This window comes from Homo sapiens, chromosome 5 (genome assembly GCF_000001405.40).
Source record: "Homo sapiens chromosome 5, GRCh38.p14 Primary Assembly".
NCBI classification, from domain to species: domain Eukaryota; kingdom Metazoa; phylum Chordata; class Mammalia; order Primates; family Hominidae; genus Homo; species Homo sapiens.
In genome coordinates, this window is record NC_000005.10 from 171,791,618 (window position 1) to 171,811,126 (window position 19,509).

Sequence of the window (19,509 nt, forward strand, 5' to 3'; positions counted from 1 at the left end):
CCAACAATCTGCTTCAAGGAATTTATCCCACAGCTGCATTTGCCCACACATGAAATTACATGTGTATAAGATTATTCACCCCAGCTTTATTTGCAGTAGCAAAAAAATGGAAGCAACCCAAATGATACCAGGAGGGCTCTGGTTATATAAGTTATGGTACAGCCAGACAATGAACAATCATGTAGCTATAAAAGAGAATGAGGAAGCTTTCTACTATGGTGTGAATATGGGTGACCCCCAAAATGCATATATTGGAACCTAATACTCAATGTGACAGTGTTAAGAGCTGGAGCCTTTCGGAGGTGATTAGGTCATGAGGATTCTCCCCTCATTAGTGAGATTAGTGCCATTATATTAATAATAGAGGCTTGAGGAGCCTGTTTGCCCCTTCCACCATGTGAGGACACAGCTAGAAGTTCCCTTTTATGAGGAATAAGTGCTCACCAGACACTGAATCTGCTGGTGCCTTGATCTTGGACTTCCAAGCCTCCAGAACTGTGAGTAATAAATGTCTATATTTACAAATTATGCAGTCTAAGGTATTTTAACTGCCCACATGGACTGATACTTTCCTTCTGCTAAAATGGGAAAGCCTGAAAGATATGTAGTTAAGTGAAAAAAATTAAGGTATAGGCCAGGCACAGTGGCTCACACCTGTAATCCCAGCACTTTGGGAGTCCAAGACAGGCGAATCACTTGAGGTCAGGAGTTCGAGACCAGCCTGGCCAACATGGTGAAACCCCGTCTCTACCAAAATTACAAAAAATTAGCCCAGCATGGTGGCATGCACCTGTAATCCCAATTACTAGGGAGGCTGAGGCAGGAGAATTGCTTGAACCCAGGAGGCAGGGGCTGCAATGAGCTGAGATTGTGCCACTGCATTCCAGCCTAGGTGACAGAGTGAGACTCCGTCTCAAAAAAAAAAAAAAAATTAAGGTGCAAAAAGGGAGCAGAAGATAAAAATATATATTTTGTTGTTGATATTGATGATGATAATGACGTTATTAAATATGCATAAAAACTCTAGAAGGATACAAGCCTGCCTGGGAGTGAGGGGATTTGAAACTGGGAGATGTGTAACAAGGATGGGAGGAAACTTTTCAGCATATATTTTTCATACTTTCTTGTTTTCAAACTATGTGAATGTTTTGCTTATTCAAATATTTTTTAAAAACAAATTTCTATTTTGCATGCAGACAAGAACTGGAATATATGTATATAAGCAAAAATAACAGTATCATTATGATGAAATTATGATTGAATTAATTTTTAAAAACAGTCCCAAAAGAAAACCCTTCTCTTTTGATTACTTTATTTTGATTAAACAATGATCATTTTTTATCTAGGACTTCCCCTTTTTCCTATTACCTCCAGGAAACTTATAGTTGTTTGTTACTGGAATTTTATCAGCCTCATTGTTTTGGGTTATTTATTTTCCCCTTTCTATGACTTTTTTGTTTTCTATTCTGATGGAGCTATTATACATGTACCAATTATTAGAACCACCTCAAATCTTTGGATAGTGATGAGGGTTTCAATTACACTAATCTCAGAGGACATCTGACTTACAGGGGATGGCACAGCAATTTGTTTGCCAGGAGGGATTAATCAATTGCCATTTGGGATGGAAAAAGTCTTTGCAAATTATGATCCCAATTTTCCACTTTGAATATTTGGCAGGAGGTTGGGACCAGAATCTATTTTTTCACATTTCCAGCTATTTCACCAAGAGTTCTACGGGAAAGGTCTGATTGATATTTGCTTGCATTTATAGTTACATATTGCCATAGAGTAGTTATGTATGTTTATATTATATTTATATATTATATATACTTATATGTTTATATTGTATATGATACATTTATAAATATATTCATAAAATATATATTTTATATATGTATACAAAATTGGGGGATACATTTTAAAAAAAAAGAAAATGAGGCCAGGCGCAGTGGCTCCCACCTGTAATCCCAACACTTTGGGAGGCCAAGGTGGGCAGATGACTTGAGGTCAGAAGTTCGAGACCAGCCTGGCCAACATGGTGAAACCCCATCTCTACTAAAAATACAAAAAATAGCCAGGCATCATAGCACATGCCTATAGTCCCAGCTACTTGGGAGGCTGAGGCAGGAGACTCTCTTGAACCTGGGAGGCAGAGGTTGCAGTGAGCTGAGATCTTGCCATTGCACTCCAGCCTCGGTGACAGAGTGAGACTCTGCCTCAAAAAAAAAAGAAAAGAAAAGAAAAGAAAATGGAGCTTAGACCTTTGAGGAGTTAAACCACCTCTGCGGGTATTAGAACCTTTGAGAGGAGCTAGCTATTTGGAACCTCCCCTGTCCCCCCCCAGTGCTGGTGTGGGCCCCCAACCCATTGATGGTGGCTACTTTTGGTGTGTTGGCTTGTGAGCCCATAAAGAACAGGGAGTCACTTGGGATAACTCAGGCAATAAGGGTTTATTGTGGTGCTACAAAGGAGCCAGAATCTCCCCCCAAATCCAGGGACATACCAGGACCTGGGATTGTGGAGACTGGAATAGGGAGGTCTTTGAAAGTTCAGGGTGGCTCCAGCGCCCAGCTGCAGGAATTCTGGAGCTTTCCCCTAGCACGCCACCTTTACGTTGCCGTTCTCCAGTGTTGGATTCCTTTGTGTGTCCGCTCCATCTCTTCCTGCTTCCAAGCTTTGTATCTCTTCTTCAACTTGGGGCTTCTGCTTCTGATTCATCATAACTCTGATATGTCCCTACCCCATGTGGCCACTTCCGCCTACTTTCCAACTTCTACTGACTGTGTGATTCTGTCCACATTCCCCAAGTCAAATCCCAGGAGGAGTGGGTGGGATATGGCTGACCCATATGGAAGAGACAGGCTTGGTCTTGTTACAGGGAAAGTGGCCAGTTGGGAAATTGTCATGAAGATCCAATTATCTGCATTTCTTTTCTTTGTTTCAGGCACCTGGAGCATGAGGTCAGCATCAGAGATCATTGGCTGGGGCCTCCTGTGCCAAGCCAGGCTCTACACGGCAGCCTGCCTTTGGGATGACCTTGGGGTGATCACCACAATGCAATCAGCAGTGGCAGGAGGGAGAGGGGAGGACCAAGTGATCCAGAACAGAGCTACCTCAAACAGGAAGCAGACTGGGGCCATTTCCCTCCAAGGGACTCAGGGCTGCACTAAGATGCCTTGACACGTCACCCAGGGTGGTCATGAATGTGGCAGAGAGTATACTTCTGTGTCCTGAGAGTCAATACCAGGGCAGCAGAATTGCATGAGACAGACACTCAGAGGTCAGACCCTGGGAAGATTCCAGACCTGAGCTAGGGCCAGTGTGAAGGGAGGCAGATGAAAACAATTGCCAAGAATGAGGTGGGAGGTGCTTGGCCACCAGAGTCCCCACAGGTGAGTGGGCCATCCTGCCTCAAAAGCACAAAATAATAATTGGGGGATATTTCACTCCCTGTTTTCCATTCCTGGGTGTAAAAAAATACAAATTACACACTTAAAAGGAAGCATATTACTGCCTTTATGACTTTGAAGTCTGTTATAATTTGAATGGGGTTAGCAAAATGTTGCCCCGTAGACCTATTAAGAAGCTCACTTTCATATCAACAAAGTAGATTTCCCTTTGGGAGATAAAATGTCCTTTGCTTGAGGAGGCCACTATTCACAGCTCCTTCCATTCAATCAAGAAATATTTATTGGGCCATGCATGTGCCAGCTGCCGGGAATGAGAAGTTTATAGGCTAATGGGGGAAACAGATAAAAAACAAGTAGAAAAGTCAAGACAAGGTGATTTCAGAGGATAACAAACAAGACCACTTAGCAAGCACTGCAGTTTTCCAGGTGAGAAACAGAGGTTTGGCATACACTGCTAGGCTGGAGCTGGCAAGAAACCCAGAGACTCAGGGTGCAGTAAGTTTAATCCACCCAGCCAGGGAGTTGGGTCTAGACAGCTACTCACCAGGCCACAGGACTTCTGCGCCAAGATTTCAGGTTCTGACCCAGGTAGCTCACGAGAGTACAATGGAAGAGACAGGCTTGGTCTTGTTACAGGGAAAGTGGCCAGTTGGGAAAATGTCATGAAGATCCAATTATCTGCATTTCTTTTCTTTGTTTCAGGCACCTGGAGCATGAGGTCAGCATCAGAGATCATTAAAAATGTTTAATTAATTTTAATTGGTGGCCATCTCCCCCATCTCTCTTTTACTTCATGGGCATATTGGGCAACCTTCCTCATACTCCCTCAGGTTCTCCTATTTTGCTTACATTGGTTTATTCCAGATTTTTCTTTTGTTTGTATTTTTTTATTGGTTTTGATCAGCTCCTTTTTTCTTCCTTTAAGGTGTATAATGAGGAGAAAAAAGCCACAACCATTCAGGTTATTCATGTTTTAAAGATAAGAATCTGATACTCTAGACAAAAACTGGATGTGGTAAAGACTACCTGTGTGTCTGCATGTGTATTTCTTAAGAACATAAGGCTTATTTGGAAGAAATAATAAAATCGTGATAGCTGACGTTTAGAGGATGCGTCCCTCATCGCTATTTTAGGGTTTGGTCAAGTGCTGTTGCTTTTTCTAGATTATGAGGTAGAAACTGAGGCACAGAGAGATTGCATCACGGTTACCATCACATGCTCAGTAAGTGGGGAGCCAGGATTCTAACCTGTCTGGCCTCAGAGCCCTCACTTTAAATCAGTGTAATCAATGCTCCTCATAGCCTACCCTCCATCGAGCCCAGCCAAGATGATGTCTTTTCTCTCTGGAAAAGTTCTCACTTTATTGTTAAGTAATCATATGCCGATTAAATTTATAAGGCCATAAATATTCATTGCATGCTACTACGTGTAGGGTACGCATATACAGAGAAGTAGAAATCACGTTCCCTGTCCGCTCTTAGCTTGTCTTTCTGCTGGAAAGCCAAGAAGCAAAGATGGGGGAAGTGAAATCTCTATGTCGATTTACAAGCCATTGGATGCAGTGCCAAAGGCACCTAATTAATTGCCAATGAGCTACATAAATATTTATTGGCCTAACTAAGAGTTCAAGGAAGGGATAGAGCGCTTGGATTGGCACTAAAATGAAAATCTGCTAGAACAGCGATACAAAAATGCTGGAACTTACACCAGGCTATGGCCAAGAGGAAATCGCAGGGAAACTGGAGAGAGAGAATGATGGGGTGAGGGCAGAAAGGAATCACATCCCAGATGTGGGTGCCCAGCCTCAACATAAGGTCCAGATTCCAGGTCTCAGAGAAGATGTGGGGACAGGCTTCCCAAAGGCCTGTGAGAAGCAGGGTGATGGGAAACAACAACAACAAAAACAAAAACCTTTGAGAAGCAAGGATTTGGGCTCCACTCAATCTATTCCAAGGCCAGAATGTCCCTTTCCTGTCTGTGTGTCCTATTTTTGATGGTGTCAAATAAAAATGTGGATTTCATTTTTGTTTTCTTAATCCACAAATTGGTTCAACAAAGTTGTGAAATTCAATAAATCCAGTTTGGCTCCAATCTGGCTGTCAGGAGGACAATTGAGGGGGATGAGGGATGGAGCCAAAGAATACACGTTTCCTGGAGCACCCAAATTCTTTCTGTTGTGACATTCCCATGAGAGAATGCATCCCTGCCTGAGGGCAGGGGACGACAGAAGGCAAGGGCTTCATCCAGACGCTGAGTTCGCCTTCTTAGTACAGGGGCTGTGCCCTTTGCAGAAAGGGTCTGGAGTCCCTGTGCGCTTGGGCCAAGTCACTTCCTACCTCAAAGCCTTTGTTTCCTCCTCTGTCCTATAAAGCTACTCCCACCTCCTCTGAGCAGCTGTTGGGATATTAAGAAGGTGTATTGACCATAAAGCCAAGTGTGGAAACCTAGCAGATGCTTAGGACAAGACAGCATAATAGAAAAAAAGATAGATCTAGTCCCAGGCTCAGTAAAATTCGGGGACATGGACTTTATCTCTCCACCTCTCAACTCGGCTTGCCTCTGGGCTGGCCCCATTCTCAGGCAGGCCAACCCCACTGTGAGGCAGGGTGGCTTCAGAAGTGCCAGGCTATGATATCATATCTGCCAAGCCTGGCCAGAAGGAAGGAAATGCCTCTTCCCCAATGGCTGTGACCAAAGTTCTGCAATTGGGCCTTGTCTGTCAGACTGCGTCACATGCCCATTCCTGAGCTAGTCCTTGTGGCTGAGGGGACGCACTGCTCTGATTGGCCAGACCTGTGTCCTCTGCCCATCCCTCCAGCCAAGGATAGAGTCAGCTCTATGGAAGCACTGACAGAGTGGAGGAGCTGTGGCCTTCCTAGGGATACTGGAGTGCTGTCCCGGAAAGGGGACAATTAAATGCTAGGAAAAAAATTAAAATACGTTGTTAACATTTCAACGATAATTATTTACATTTTCATCATAGGCTGGTGGAGTAGAAAGTGCATTCTCAGCTGTACTACCTCACTGAGACCTTAGTTCATCTAGACAAGTGATCTTTTTTTAAATACCCTGGTGCATGAGCCTGCTACAGCTTCTCCTGCCTTTGAGCCTAGACAAAGTGCACATCAGTGGAGGTGGCATGAAGAAGTTGAAAGAACCAGGCTTTGGGGGTCAAACAGACCTGGTGCTAGCCCTGCCCCTCACCCCTGCTTCTCCACCATGTGACCTCAGACAGGTGGACTCTACCCTTCTGAGTCCCATTCTGCTCGCCCATAAAACGGGATATGTCTATACATCTCCCGGGCCTATTGAGAGGATTGTGTAATAAGCACCAACTTTTATTTAGTGTTTACTATGCTCCAGGTGCTATTCTAAGTGCTTTAGGGGCATTACCTTATTTAATCACCACAGCAAGTCTGTGATGATTTGATGTGTGATGATGAGACAGTTACTGTCAGTGCCTTCATCATACACATAAGGGAACAGGGATGCAGGATGCCTAAATAGTCCAGGGTCACACAGTAAGTGCTGGAGCCAGGATGCAAACCCAGACAGGCAAACTCCAGGGCCACGAGCTTCAACCCCGCCCTGTGCTCCTTCCGGATTAAATGAGGTAATGTGCATGCAAGAGCTATGTAAACCGTAACACACTATATAAATGTCACTCGTTATTACTTCTCTCTTGCTGCCCTGGTCATTAAAGCCAGGAGGGACCTAATGAATCTACCGTTCAGATATTTTCTCACAGCTCAAGACACGGTCGCTGGTCCTTGAGCTCCCACTTCCTCCCAGCCTGCCTGTGACTCAAGGCTGCACCTAGAGACCCCTTCTCGCTCTTTCTGCTCTAGCGCACCAGCCAAGTCGTGTCTTGGATGTGGCCAGTCATGCTGTAGAGAGGGATCAGCAAAGCGATCAGTAGGAGATGATGAGCTGTGGGCTAAGAACTCTGGTGAGGGGAGTTTGTCTTGCACACGTGCATACATCCATTCAGCAACTCTTGATGAACACAAGGATGAACTGGGGCTGTACTGGACAGTAGCAATATTTTGGAGAGAAGAACCAACATGGTCTCTGCCCACATGAGAGTTCCCAGAGTGGTGGGGGAGTCAGACAAAACAGGACTCCCTGAGATCTGGGAAGAGATTCTGCACCATGTGTAGTATGGTGCATAATAGCAGAACCTGCCTGCTAGGGTGGTTGTGAGATACACGCTAGAGGAGTCGTGCAGGCAGTGTCAGAGCTGAGCACATGTTAGCTGTCGTCACAAAATGAGTTCCGCCGCCTCCCCCCTCTGACATACAGCTCAGCACTCAATGCCATGTAACTTACTTGTTCATTCTTTGTGGCTCTTGGTTTCTGCTTTATTTCACATATCAAAACACATACTTATTAACAAAAATCCAGGAAAAAAATAAAGCAGAAAAGTGTATGTTTTTCAAATAGCAAGAGAATAGAAACTGATATCATATTGGTGGTTGCCAGGGGCTGCTGGAAGGAGGGAAAGGAGAGACTGCTTAATGGGTACAGGGTTTCTGGTTGGGGCGATGAAAATGTTCTGTAATTAGATAGCGGTGATGGCTGCACAGTGGTGGAGATGTAGATAATGCCACCGAATTGTCTACTTTAAAATGGCGCAGTGGCTCATGCCTGTAATCCCAGCACGTTGGGAGGCCAAGACAGGTGGATCACCAGAGGTCAGGAGTTCGAGATCAGCCTGGCCAACATGGAGAAACCCCATCTCTACTGAAAATACAAAAAATTAGCTGGGCGTGGTGGCGGGTGCCTGTAATCCCAGCTATTCAGGAGACTGAGGCAGGAGAATCGCTTGAACCAGGGAGGCAGAAGTTGCAGTGAGTCGAGATCACGCCATTGCACTCTAGCCTGGGCAAAAAGAGCAAAACTCCATCAGAAAAAATAAATAAATAAATAAATAAATAGGCAAAAATTGTGAATTTTATGTTACGTGTATTTTACTGTAATTTTTTTAAGTAGCAGGGGACCATGACCTCACTACCCACGGTCAGTCAAAGCAATATTTTACATATTTTCCTCCAGTTTTTTTCAATGCATATTTTGCAAGAGTTAAAGTCATAATTGCAAGTACAACTTTGTATTTTCTCCTTTTTGAATCCAGCAGTATGTCCTAAGTATTTTCTCCATGTCCTGCATAACACTGCTGGGCATTTAGGAGGTCCTTTTCTTCTAAACAACTCTTCCCTAATATTAGCAAACACATTAAGAACATGAAAGGCACACTGTTGATTGGGAGAAACTATTCATCATACATGTATCTGACAGAAGACTTACATCCAGAATGTACAAGGAATTCCTACAAATCAATAAGAAAAGAACAGACCACTCAGTTGTTTTAAATGTGCCATAAGTTGGAAAAGACACTTAAGAAGAAGATACAAGAATGGACAATAAGCACGAGAAAGGTGCTCAACATCACTGCTCATCCGGGACATGCAAGCTAAAATCATAATGAGATGGTACGGCAATATCACATGTTGGCAAGGAAGACAGAGCACTGAAAATGTCATACACGCTGGTGGGATCCTAACATTGTGCAACTTCACTTCGGGAGGCCAAGGTGGGCAGATCACTTGAGGTTGAGAGTTCGAGACCAGCCTGGCCAACATGGTGAAACCCCATCTCTACTAAAAATACAAAAATTAGCTGGGCGTGGTGGCGCTTGCCTGTAGTCTCAGCTACTCGGGAGGCTGAGGCAGGAGAATCGCTTGAACCCAGGAGGCAGAGCTTGCAGTGAGCCGAGATTGCGCCACTGCACTCCAGCCTGGGTGACAGAGTGAGACTCTGTCTCAAAAAATAAAAAAAAAAAATAAATAAATAAAATAAAACTGTACAACTCACTTTGGAAATCAGCTTGGCAGTTTATTATAAATATACACCTATGCTATGTCCTAGCGATTCCACTTCCAAGTATTTACCCAAAAGAAAGGAAAACTAGTGGCCGCCAAAGCAAAAATGCACAAAAATGGTCATAACAGCTTTATTCATAAAAGACAATAACTGGAAACAACTCAAATGTCCATAAATAAATTGTGGTATATACCTACAATAGAATACTGTATACAGACGTTTTTTAAATGAACTACTGAAACATACAACAGCATGAATGAGTCTCAAAAGCATTGTGTTGCATGAAATAAGCAAGACTAAAGAGTACTTAGGCAAGGCACAGTGGCTCAGGCCTGTAATCCCAACACTTTGGGAAGCTGAGGCAGACAGATCACCTGAGGTCAGGAGTTTGACACCAGCCTGGCCAACATGGTGAAACCCCATCTGTGCTAACAATACAAAAATTAACTGGGTGTGGTGGTGCATGCCTGTAATCTCAGCTATTGGGGAGGCCTAGGCAGGAGACTCGCTTGAACCCAGGAAGCGGAAGTTGCAGTGAGCTGAGATCATACCATTGCACTCCAGCCTGGGCGACAGAGTGAGACTCTGCCTCAAAAAAAAAAAAGGATTTGCTGTGTGATTCCAGGCAAAGCTAAATTATGATGATAGAAATTAAGTCAATGTCTTGGGGGAGGTATACAAGGAAACTTTTTGGTATAATAGAAATACTCTAGCTCTTGATTTAGGTTGTGGGTTACATCAGTGTATACATTTATTGAAATTCATCAAACTGTACAACTTAAGTCTCCTCTTTATTATATGCAAGTCATACCTGAATAACATTAGTTAAAAACAATAAAATAGGCCAGGCACAGCCGCTCTTGCCTGTAATCCCAACACTTTAGGGGCTAAGGTGGGAGGATTGCTTGAACCCAGGAGTTTGAGACCAGCCTGGGCAACATAGTGAGACCCTCTGTCTACAAAAAATAAATTAGCTATGAGTAGTGCTATGCACCTGTAGTCTCAGCTACTCGAGAGGCTGAGGCAGGAGGATTGTTTGAGCCCAGGAAGTTGAGGCTGCAGTGAACCACAGTTACACCACTGCACTCCAGCCTGAGCAACAGAGTGAGATGCTGTCTCAAAACAAAAAAAAATTAACACAGTAAAGTAATACACCAACCCTATGACTCAAATATTTCACTTCCATATATTTGCCCAAGAAAAAAACCATTTACCCACAGAAAGTCTTATATAAGACTATTCATTGAAACTATACTCATAAAAGCCAAAAACTGAAAATGGACTAAGTACTCCAATTAAAACAGAAAGATTGTTAATGTGCATTTTTTTTTTTTTTTTTTTTTTTTGAGACAGAGTCTTGCTCTGTCATCCAGGCTGGATGGAGTGCAGTGGCGTGATCTCGGCTCACTGCAAGCTCTGCCTCCAGGGTTCACGCCATTCTCCCGCCTCAGCCTCCCGAGTAGCTGGGACTACAGGTGCTTGCCACCATGCCTGGCTAATTTTTGTATTTTTAGTAGAGACGGGGTTTCACCGTGTTAGCCAGGATGGTCTCGATCTCCTGACCTTGTGATCTGCCCACCTCGGCCTCCCAAAGTGCTGGGATTACAGGCATGAGCCACTGTGCCTGGCTGTTAATCTGCATTTTTAAAGGTACGTTGCTTACAAGAGATACAAAGACCCAGAAAGGTTGAAAGTAAAAGGATGGAAAAATATATTCATTAAAATACTAAAAAAGCAGATAAGTAGGTAGAAATTTTTAAAAGCAGGTATAGCTCTCCTATCAGATGAAATCGACATTAAAACCAAAAGTATTATAAGACATAAAGAATGACAATTCAGGCCAGGCACGGTGGTATGCACCTGTTGTCTTAGCTACTTGGGAGGCTGAGGGAGGCTGAGACAGGAGGGTCACATGAGCCCAGGAGTTTGAGGCTGCAGGGAGCTATGATCATGCCACTGTAGCCCAGCCTGGGCAACACAGCAAGACCCCATCTTTTAAAAAGAAAGAATAACAATTCATAATTATAGAGGGGTCAGTTCAACAGGAATACATAAGGATCCTAAATGCCAATGAGCTTAATAATATGGCTTCAAACACTGTAAGAACTAAAAGGAGAAATAATGGATTCCATAATCATAGTGGGATGTTTCAACACATGTGTCACAGTTAACTGATAACACAAATAAATACACAAATAATAAGGATGTGAGATTTGAATGACATGAATAACAAACTTACACAAATAATAAGGATGTGAGATTTGAATGACATGAATAACAAATATGATCAGACCCAAACCTATCCAGGCACCTGCCTTATGGCAAAGGCACCACTACAAAGCAGTTGGGGAGAGAACAGTCTTGTCAATAAATGTTGCTAGATCAGTTGTACAACCTTAGGGAAAATATGGGCACTGACTCTTAAAATTCTATTCCAGGTGAATGATAGATCTAAATGTAAAAAGTAAAACAATAAAGCTTCTGGAATAAAACATAGGAGTATAGTTATGACCATGGATAGACAAAGATTTCTTAAACAAAACACAAAGAACATTAATCATAAAGGAAAAGATTGATGAATTCAACCATTTAAAAATTAAGAATTGTTATTCATCAAGACATCATTAAGAGAGTGAAAAGGCAAACAGGATGGGAGAAGGTATGTGCCATCCATGCACCTATTTAAGAACCTGAATAGTGTCCATATACAGAACTCCTACAAACCAATAAGAAAAGGACAGACATCTCTCAAAAAGGCCAAAATGTGAACAGGCACTCCACAAAAGGGCATATCCAAATGGCCAATTAGCTGTCCGTGAATGGCTAATTAAAGCCACAATGAGGTATCAGCACTACAGTGAGTATGTTTAACTATTTTAACCTGACATCAAATTTTGCAAGGATGCAGAGTTACTAGAACTCTCAGATATTTCTGTGGCAGCATAAATTGCTACAATTGCTTTGAAAAGCTGTTGGCAGTACCTACTAAAGCTGAACACAGGCACTTCATGACCCAAAATTTCACCCCAAATGTATCCTCCCAGAAATGCATGTACACGCATGTTCTCACTCATAAGTGAGAGTTGAACAATGAGAACACATGGACACAGGGAGGGGAACATCACACAGTGGGGCCTGTCGGGGAATGGGGGGCTAAAGGAGGGAGAGCATTAGGACAGATACCTAATCCATGCAGGGGTTCAAACCTAGATGATGGGTTGATGGGTGCAGCAAACCACCATGGCACATGTATACCTGTGTAACAAACCTGCATGTTCTGCACATGTATCCCAGAACTTAGAGTAAAATAAAATTTAAAAGAAAAGAAATGCATATATATGTGTGTACGAAAAGTCATGACCAAAAATATCATAGCAGCATTATTCCTACTACCTAAGAACTAGAAACCGTTCAAATGTCCTCAATAGTAGAATAGATAAATAAATAGTATTATATTCATTCCTGTAATGGAATACTATCTGGCGATGAAAAAGAAAAAATACATGTGAAAACAGAGAAATCTCACAGACATGATGTTCACTGCAAGAAGTCAGACGCTGAAGAGTACATTCTCTGTGCTTCCATTCATATGAAATTCAAAGTCAGACAAACGTCTATCTATAGTCATAAAATCTGGGGTGTTGGATACTGTTTGGAAGTAATGATCAGGAGAGAGTGCAAGAGAGGCTTTGGGATGCTGGTAATATCCTATATCTTGATCTGTATGATGGGTGCATAGCTCAGTTTGTAAAACTTCATCATGCACTTCAGTGAAAGCTCATGCATGTAGCTGCATCATATTAAACTTCAGTTTAAAAGTTTGGCAAAACAGAGGCGCAGTGGCTCACATCTGAAATCCCAGCACTTTGGGAGGCCGAGGCAGGTGGATCACCTGCAGTCAGGAGTTTGAGACCAGCCTGACCAACATGGTGAAACTCTGTCTCTACTAAATACAAAAAATTAGCTGGGTGTGGTGGGGCACACCTGTAATCCCAGATACTCGGGAGGCTGAGGTAGAAGAATCACTTGAACCTGGGAGACGGAGGTTGCAGTGAGCCAAGATTGTGCCATTGCACTCCAGCCTGAGCAACAATAGCGAAGCTCCATCTCAAAAAAAAAAAACAGTTTGGCAAAACAGAGCATATGAATATTATTCAAATTCATCATACATATTGCCAAATTACTTTGGAGTAAAATTGTACTGATTCTCACCAGCAGTGTATAAGAGGTGTGTCTCTACTAACCCTCCCAAATACTGAGTGTTATCATTTTCAAAGATATTCTTTCGCTTTATCTTAATTTTTTCCAACAAGCCAGCTGCAATGACTGCAGATTAAACTATGTCACTCTCTCTCCTCTCCCGGACGCCTCCCGGCACCAAGGCAGTGGAAAAGGAGAGGAAGAAATGTAGGTGGCAGAGCCCGCAGGACATAGCATCGGATGGATGTGCCTGTACAGCACTCAGGTCCCTTCCTGAAAGCAGTCTTTAAAGAATTCGGGTCCCGGCGCGGTGGCTAATGTCTGTAATCCCAGCACTTTGGGAGGCAGAGGCAGGCGGATCACCTGAGGCCAGGAGTTCAAGACCAGACTGGCCAACATGGTGAAACCCCGTCTCTACTAAAAATACAAAAAATTAGCCAGGCGTGGTGTCAGGTGCCTGTAATTCCAGCTACTCGGGAGGCTGAGGCAGGAGAATTGCTTGAACCTGGGAGGTGGAGGCTGCAGTGAGCCAAGATTGTGCCATTGCACTGCAGCCTGGGCAACAAGAGCAAAAAACTCTGTCTCAAAAAAGAAAAGAAAAGGAAAAGAAAGAAAGAAAGGAAGGAAGGGAGGGAGGGAGGGAGGGAGGAAGGAAGGAAGGAAGGAAGGAAGGAAGGATAGAAAGAAAAGAAAATCAAGAAAAGAAAGGAAAGAAAGAATTTGGGGAAGGAGTCTTGCAGCAGAGTGCTGGGGCAGGAGTCAGGGGGTTTGGTCTTAGTCCAACTCCACCACAACTTCAAGGTGACCTTCGGCAAGTCCCTTGCCTTGTCGGGGCATCTGTTTCCTGACCTGTAAGCTGAATGATTAGGTTGGCGAATCTCCTACAAGGCTTTTTTCAGTGTGAACTGGCTATGATCACGTATGATTCTGCAGGTCTGGATGATGCTGCTATATGATTTCAATGCTCTGCAAAACACAAATGGATACAGTTATGTATATGTAGAACATTGTATTCATCAGAACTCTCCTTAGGAAGGCAAATGTATTTGTTGGGGGGAAGTGAGTCCCCATGGGGACCTGAATATGCAAGGATGGCACGCTCTCATAGAAGAAAAGGAGCAACTTCCAGAGAAAGGAGAAGGCAGAGGAAGGCCAGGGAGGTCCAGATAGACCGGCAAGGTAGGAGAAGACAATGGTTTGTGGTGCAGTAGCTTCCTGTGCCCTCACCAATCATCAGTAATGGTCCTAAACTCATGATGTGCTTGGGGGCAGATTTTCCTGTGGAAAGTGGTAAACGGGCTGAGCTTCCTGCACAGACTGACATGAGCCAGTCCCAAGGCAGCTCTTGGAAACACAAGGACCAAGAGAAAGAGGGACGAGTGAAAACACTTGCCCAGGACCTGGCACGGGGTGGTACAAGCACTGAACCACCATTGAGGGCAGAGAACCGGGATTTGAATCTCATTGAATCCAATCTCCAGGGCACAGGACAGCCATAGGTGACAAATACATCATGTTTTCTCTGCCGATGACTGCTACCCACTGCCCTCAACCTGCATGAAATGAATCTTGAGGGACAGTCAGGGCTGGTCTCATTTCCCTCCTGTCCTTTCTAACTAGAATCCGCTCACTAGCACAGGTGCTGCAGCAGCATCTCCACAACCCCTCACCCCCCACCCTCACCCCACCTACCTCCTGTTTGGGGGCGCCCCCACCTTGGCAGGGCAAGTGCCCCTGAGCCGGCCGTGGGTGCTCTGTCATCGGAGGGTGAAACATAGCACTCTCCCCCCAGCACACGGGCTTTGCACCCTGGAAACCATTTCCCCCTCCCTTGATTGGAAACAAAGTCGAATTCATAATTTTACAATTTTTCAAAACTGCCTAACTCCAAGGGGGGAAAAGGGAGCTTTCAGTAACCCCTATTCGGTAGCCAAGAATTAGCAAGGAAAACACTGCTTCCCACTCTCTAATTGATGCCTCTGCCAAGGGCCCCAGGTATGTCGGATCCTGAACACGCGTCTTTGGGGAATTAGTCTCAAGAAACATATCCTCCCAGGCCACGTGTGCTTCCTGTCGCCCGCAGGGCTCCTGCGGTCCCGCTCGATTCTAATTTTCTTAATACAAAACCATTTCTTTTTTTTTTTTTTTGAAATGAAAAATGACTTGTTAAACCCCTCCCGGGTCTCTTTTTTTTTCCTCCCAGAGAAACACATTAAATAAACAAAAGTGAGACGTAAAATGAAAACAGGGGCCCCCGTAGCACCTGCAGGGTTTTACCAGCTCACATTACAAAGCCCCGTCTGAAGTGTCCCGAGCACTGTTTCCATTACAAATAGCCAGTTCTCTTGAAAGTAAGGCAAAAGCCAAATTAGTCAGATTACATCAGGATATATTTTCCTGTAGCATAAGTTCTTTGGAAACACCTGCCTGACATATTTCAGACGTGTGCCGAGGCAAGCCCGGCCCTCAGTGGTTTCAGGGCTCGTCAAAGTCTCAACAAAAATGGGTGTTTGGGTTTTACTGAGTAAGACTCGGTGAGATGCCTGTGTGGAATGTGAGTTGCCACGGATTGACTTTCTGGAACCTTTTAGCTGGCAAGGTTTAACTAGCTCTTGTCCCTGGTGCCACGAGGGTCCAGGAACTCAGGCAACCTGTATCTGAACCTTCCTGGAACAGCAGGGGAGAGAGACGTTGTGGTTACGTGGTCAGAGGGCTTGAAGGGCATGGATGGAAATGCTAAAATAGGGAAGAGGGCAGAGTTGACGGGCACAGGGTGGGGAGAGCAGGACACCAGCACACTAAATGGAGCAGACACCTGTAGGCAGGAGACGCTGGGTTAGAGCTGGGGGAGACACCCTATCCCCTTGCTTCTTTTCCTATAACCCAATTAACACTCCGCCCTTGACAACCTTCTCCCATTTAGACTTTATTATTTATTTGCTTACCACTCAGTAACCATGGATAATTTACTTTTTCAAATGATCTGTGTTGCTGGGAAACTGCCTGGTCAAGTGGGTTAAGTAAATCATGGTAATCCATAATACGGAATACTATGTAGCTATTCCAGTGAATGAGGAAGAGCAACAGGGATCCTCCTGGAAAGACCTCTAAAGTAGTGAGCGGAAAAATAATCAAGTTGCGAAGTAATACAGATAGGATGATCCCCTTTATAAAAAACGGGGGTGGGAAGCAAAAGAGTACACATATATACATACGAGTGTCACAAAATGCATAGGAAGTGGACCGGGAGAAGCGATGGCCAACTTTCAGTAGTGACCACCTCTGCAGAGGGATGCGGGGAAAGAGAGAGGAGGAGGGCCTTCTATATTCTCCTTTGAATATGCTCGAAACATTTACAATACAAATGGAGTCATGCATTATTTGTGTAAAGAAAAATACCCATAAAGAATATTTAAAAGTGTGTGTTAATAGCATAGACATGGAATCAAACTAGGTGCCCATCAATGGTGGATTGGATAAAGAAAATGTGAGACATATACACCATAGAATACTACACAGCCATGAAAAAGAAGGAAATCATGTCCTTTGCAGAACGTGGATGGAGCTGGAGGCCATTATTTTAAGTGAATTAACACAGGAACAGAAAACCAAATACCACACGTTCTCACTTATAAGTGGAAGCTAAACATCAGGTACTCATAAAGATGCAATAATAGACACGAGTCTACCAGAGAGGGGAGGGAAGAAGAAGGACAAGAGTTAAAAAACTATTGGGTACCATGCTCAGCCCCTAGGTGACAGGATCAGTTGTGTCCCAAACCTCAGCATCACAAGATATACCCATGTAAAAAAAACTACACATGTGCCCCCGAATTGAAAACAAAAGTTGAAACTATTTTTAGAAATAAAAAATAATATTTTTTAAGTGTGTATGTTGGGAGATGGTACATTCCTGTTGAGTTTCTAAATTCTGAAAACTGAAGAATCCTCAACCCCAATTATGTGATGGGGATAGATGGCTCTAGGGCCTCACTGGGCTCTGAGTCACTGGATTTTCATGCACCCTGATTCATCCAGTGCTGGCCAGCAATGTCCATTGGCAAGAGCACAGGCCATGAGAGTGTTCTCCTGCCATGATGCTGGTGTTGCTAATGGAGCAGTGGCAAGTACAAGCTCTGGGGTCAACCAGCCAGCCTGGACTCAAATCCTGGCTGGGTCACTCACAAGAAACAGGACTTAAGACACCTTCCCTAACCTCTGTTTGCCTACAGTAAAAGCTACCTAAGAAGGGCCAGGAGTGGTGGCTCACGCCTGTAATCCCAGCACTTTGGGAGGCCAAGACGGGCGGATCACCAGAGGTCAGGAGTTGAAGACAAGCCTGGCCAACATGGTGAGACCCTGTCTCTACTAAAAATAGAAAAATTAGCCAGGCATGATGGCAGGTACCTGTAATCCCAGCTACTTGGGAGGCTGAGGCAGGAGAATCACTTGATCCTGGGAGGCAGAGGCTACAGTGAGCTGTGATTACACTACTGTACTCCAGCCTGGGCGACAGAACGAGACTCTGTCCCAAACAAACAGACAAACAAAAAAAGCTACCTAAGAAGGTAAATTAAGTAAAAGCACTTAGCACTGTGCCTGGCATGTGATGAACACTCTAAAATGTGACTTATCATCAACATACGATGCATAATAAGGGTTTTCTGCATTTATGTCTTCTAAAAAAGTACGTGGCAGGGTCCATTTCAATGGATTTTGCAAATGAACATTTGCCCCTAAAATAAAGATGTGGATTTTGCCCACTGGCAGAATAGGGCCACACTAACAGCGCATGTGGGAATGGGGCAGGACTGGGTTCCTCTGCACCGTCAGAAAACTCTTTATTGTGAAGGGAAAGATCCAAGATACACAGACACAGAGAAGCCTCCAGTCGGCCTCAGGTGAGGTGTTCCAATGGGTCACCCAGAGGCCAAAAGCAGACAGCAAAGCTGGAGGAAGGTGCTGAACCAGGACCCCAAAGCCTAGGAAAGGGGGGCCTCTGTGATCAGGGAGCTGGGGACCTCGAGGTTTGCAGGGAGGAGAGTGGGGGCAGGTAGGGAGGTGTTCCACCCCAGCTGCAGCACCTTGCCAGAGAGTGTCAGCTGTTTTAAAAGGCCATGGTTGAACTAAACAACCAGAGTCTGCTGAAAGCCAGGAAACTCTTGACCTGAAGAGCAACCGTAGACGATGGTCAAATGCAATACGTGCCAGGTCTAGCCTGCCTTCCCTCCCAACCAGCAGCGATTGTAACTGTGCAAACTCTGAAACCAGTCCCTGGACTCCTTTGTCTCATACATCACAGCCCAGATCGTCAGCACAATTCCCCTTGGTCGGGTTTTTATGACTGGTGATGATGTAAGGAGGCAGAGAAAACACAGCTGGTCCTGCGTGCCGCTTACATGGAGGGCTTTGGAAGAATGTGCGCCTGTCCCCAAACACCAGCTCTTACAGCTGCTCAGCTCCCCACCGAAGGCTGAGGGTCCCTACCACCTCTCACAGAAGGAAACACGTGGCACAGACCAATGAGACATTACTTTAATAATCAGATGTGGGCATTTTTAAAGCACGGAGATGTTTGGGGTCCTCCTTCCCCACCCCCATCATCTAGTGAATTTCCATTCTTACCAACTTTACCTATTAAATGCCTGTCTCAAATGCATCCCCTTCTCCTCATCCCCAGCCCCCTTGCCTGGATCGGATGTCATTATCTCTCATGAGGATTCTATAACCGCCTTCTGACTGTTCTGCATTCATTCCTGGGTCCTTCCTTCTAACCTCCATCCAGTAGCCAGAGGGAATTTTTCAAACACAAATCATATCCATCTCCCTCTCATTTAAAACCCTTCAGTGGCTCCCTACTGCTTCCAGGATAAAGTCTCAACTCTTTTTGCATGGTCTGGTGTGCTCTTGTTATTCACCACAGTCATGTTCTATAAAATCACCACAAATGCTGATTTAGTGAACACCAAACCATTGTTCCTAGGGGACATGCAAGGTTAGGTTCCTGCAAGCC

At 44.3% G+C, this 19,509-nt stretch overlaps 1 long non-coding RNA gene across 4 annotated transcripts in view, besides 1 other annotated feature; it reads right to left on the reverse strand.

Moving 5' to 3' along the window:
- Positions 1-2,434: 2,434 nt before the first annotated feature.
- LOC105377725 (uncharacterized) overlaps positions 2,435-19,509 on the reverse strand; it is a 41,656-nt gene continuing 24,581 nt past the window's right edge. For 2 of the 4 annotated variants that reach the window (XR_007059049.1, XR_007059051.1), the window contains exons 2-3: positions 14,346-14,462; positions 2,435-5,277 (exon numbers count right to left, since the gene is read on the reverse strand). This is a non-coding gene — a long non-coding RNA (uncharacterized LOC105377725). The remainder of the gene's footprint in view (positions 5,278-14,345; positions 14,463-19,509) is intronic. The other 2 variants (XR_001742985.3, XR_007059050.1) reach the window with 2 other exon arrangements.
- Positions 3,168-4,367: an enhancer, noted in NCBI's record as "BRD4-independent group 4 enhancer chr5:171221789-171222988 (GRCh37/hg19 assembly coordinates)". NCBI's record gives its function as "activates an origin of replication core promoter dependent on BRD2, P300/CBP, MED14 and CDK7 cofactors, and independent of BRD4, by STARR-seq in HCT116 cells {active_cell/tissue: HCT116}" and the evidence as "EXISTENCE:reporter gene assay evidence [ECO:0000049][PMID:35650434]".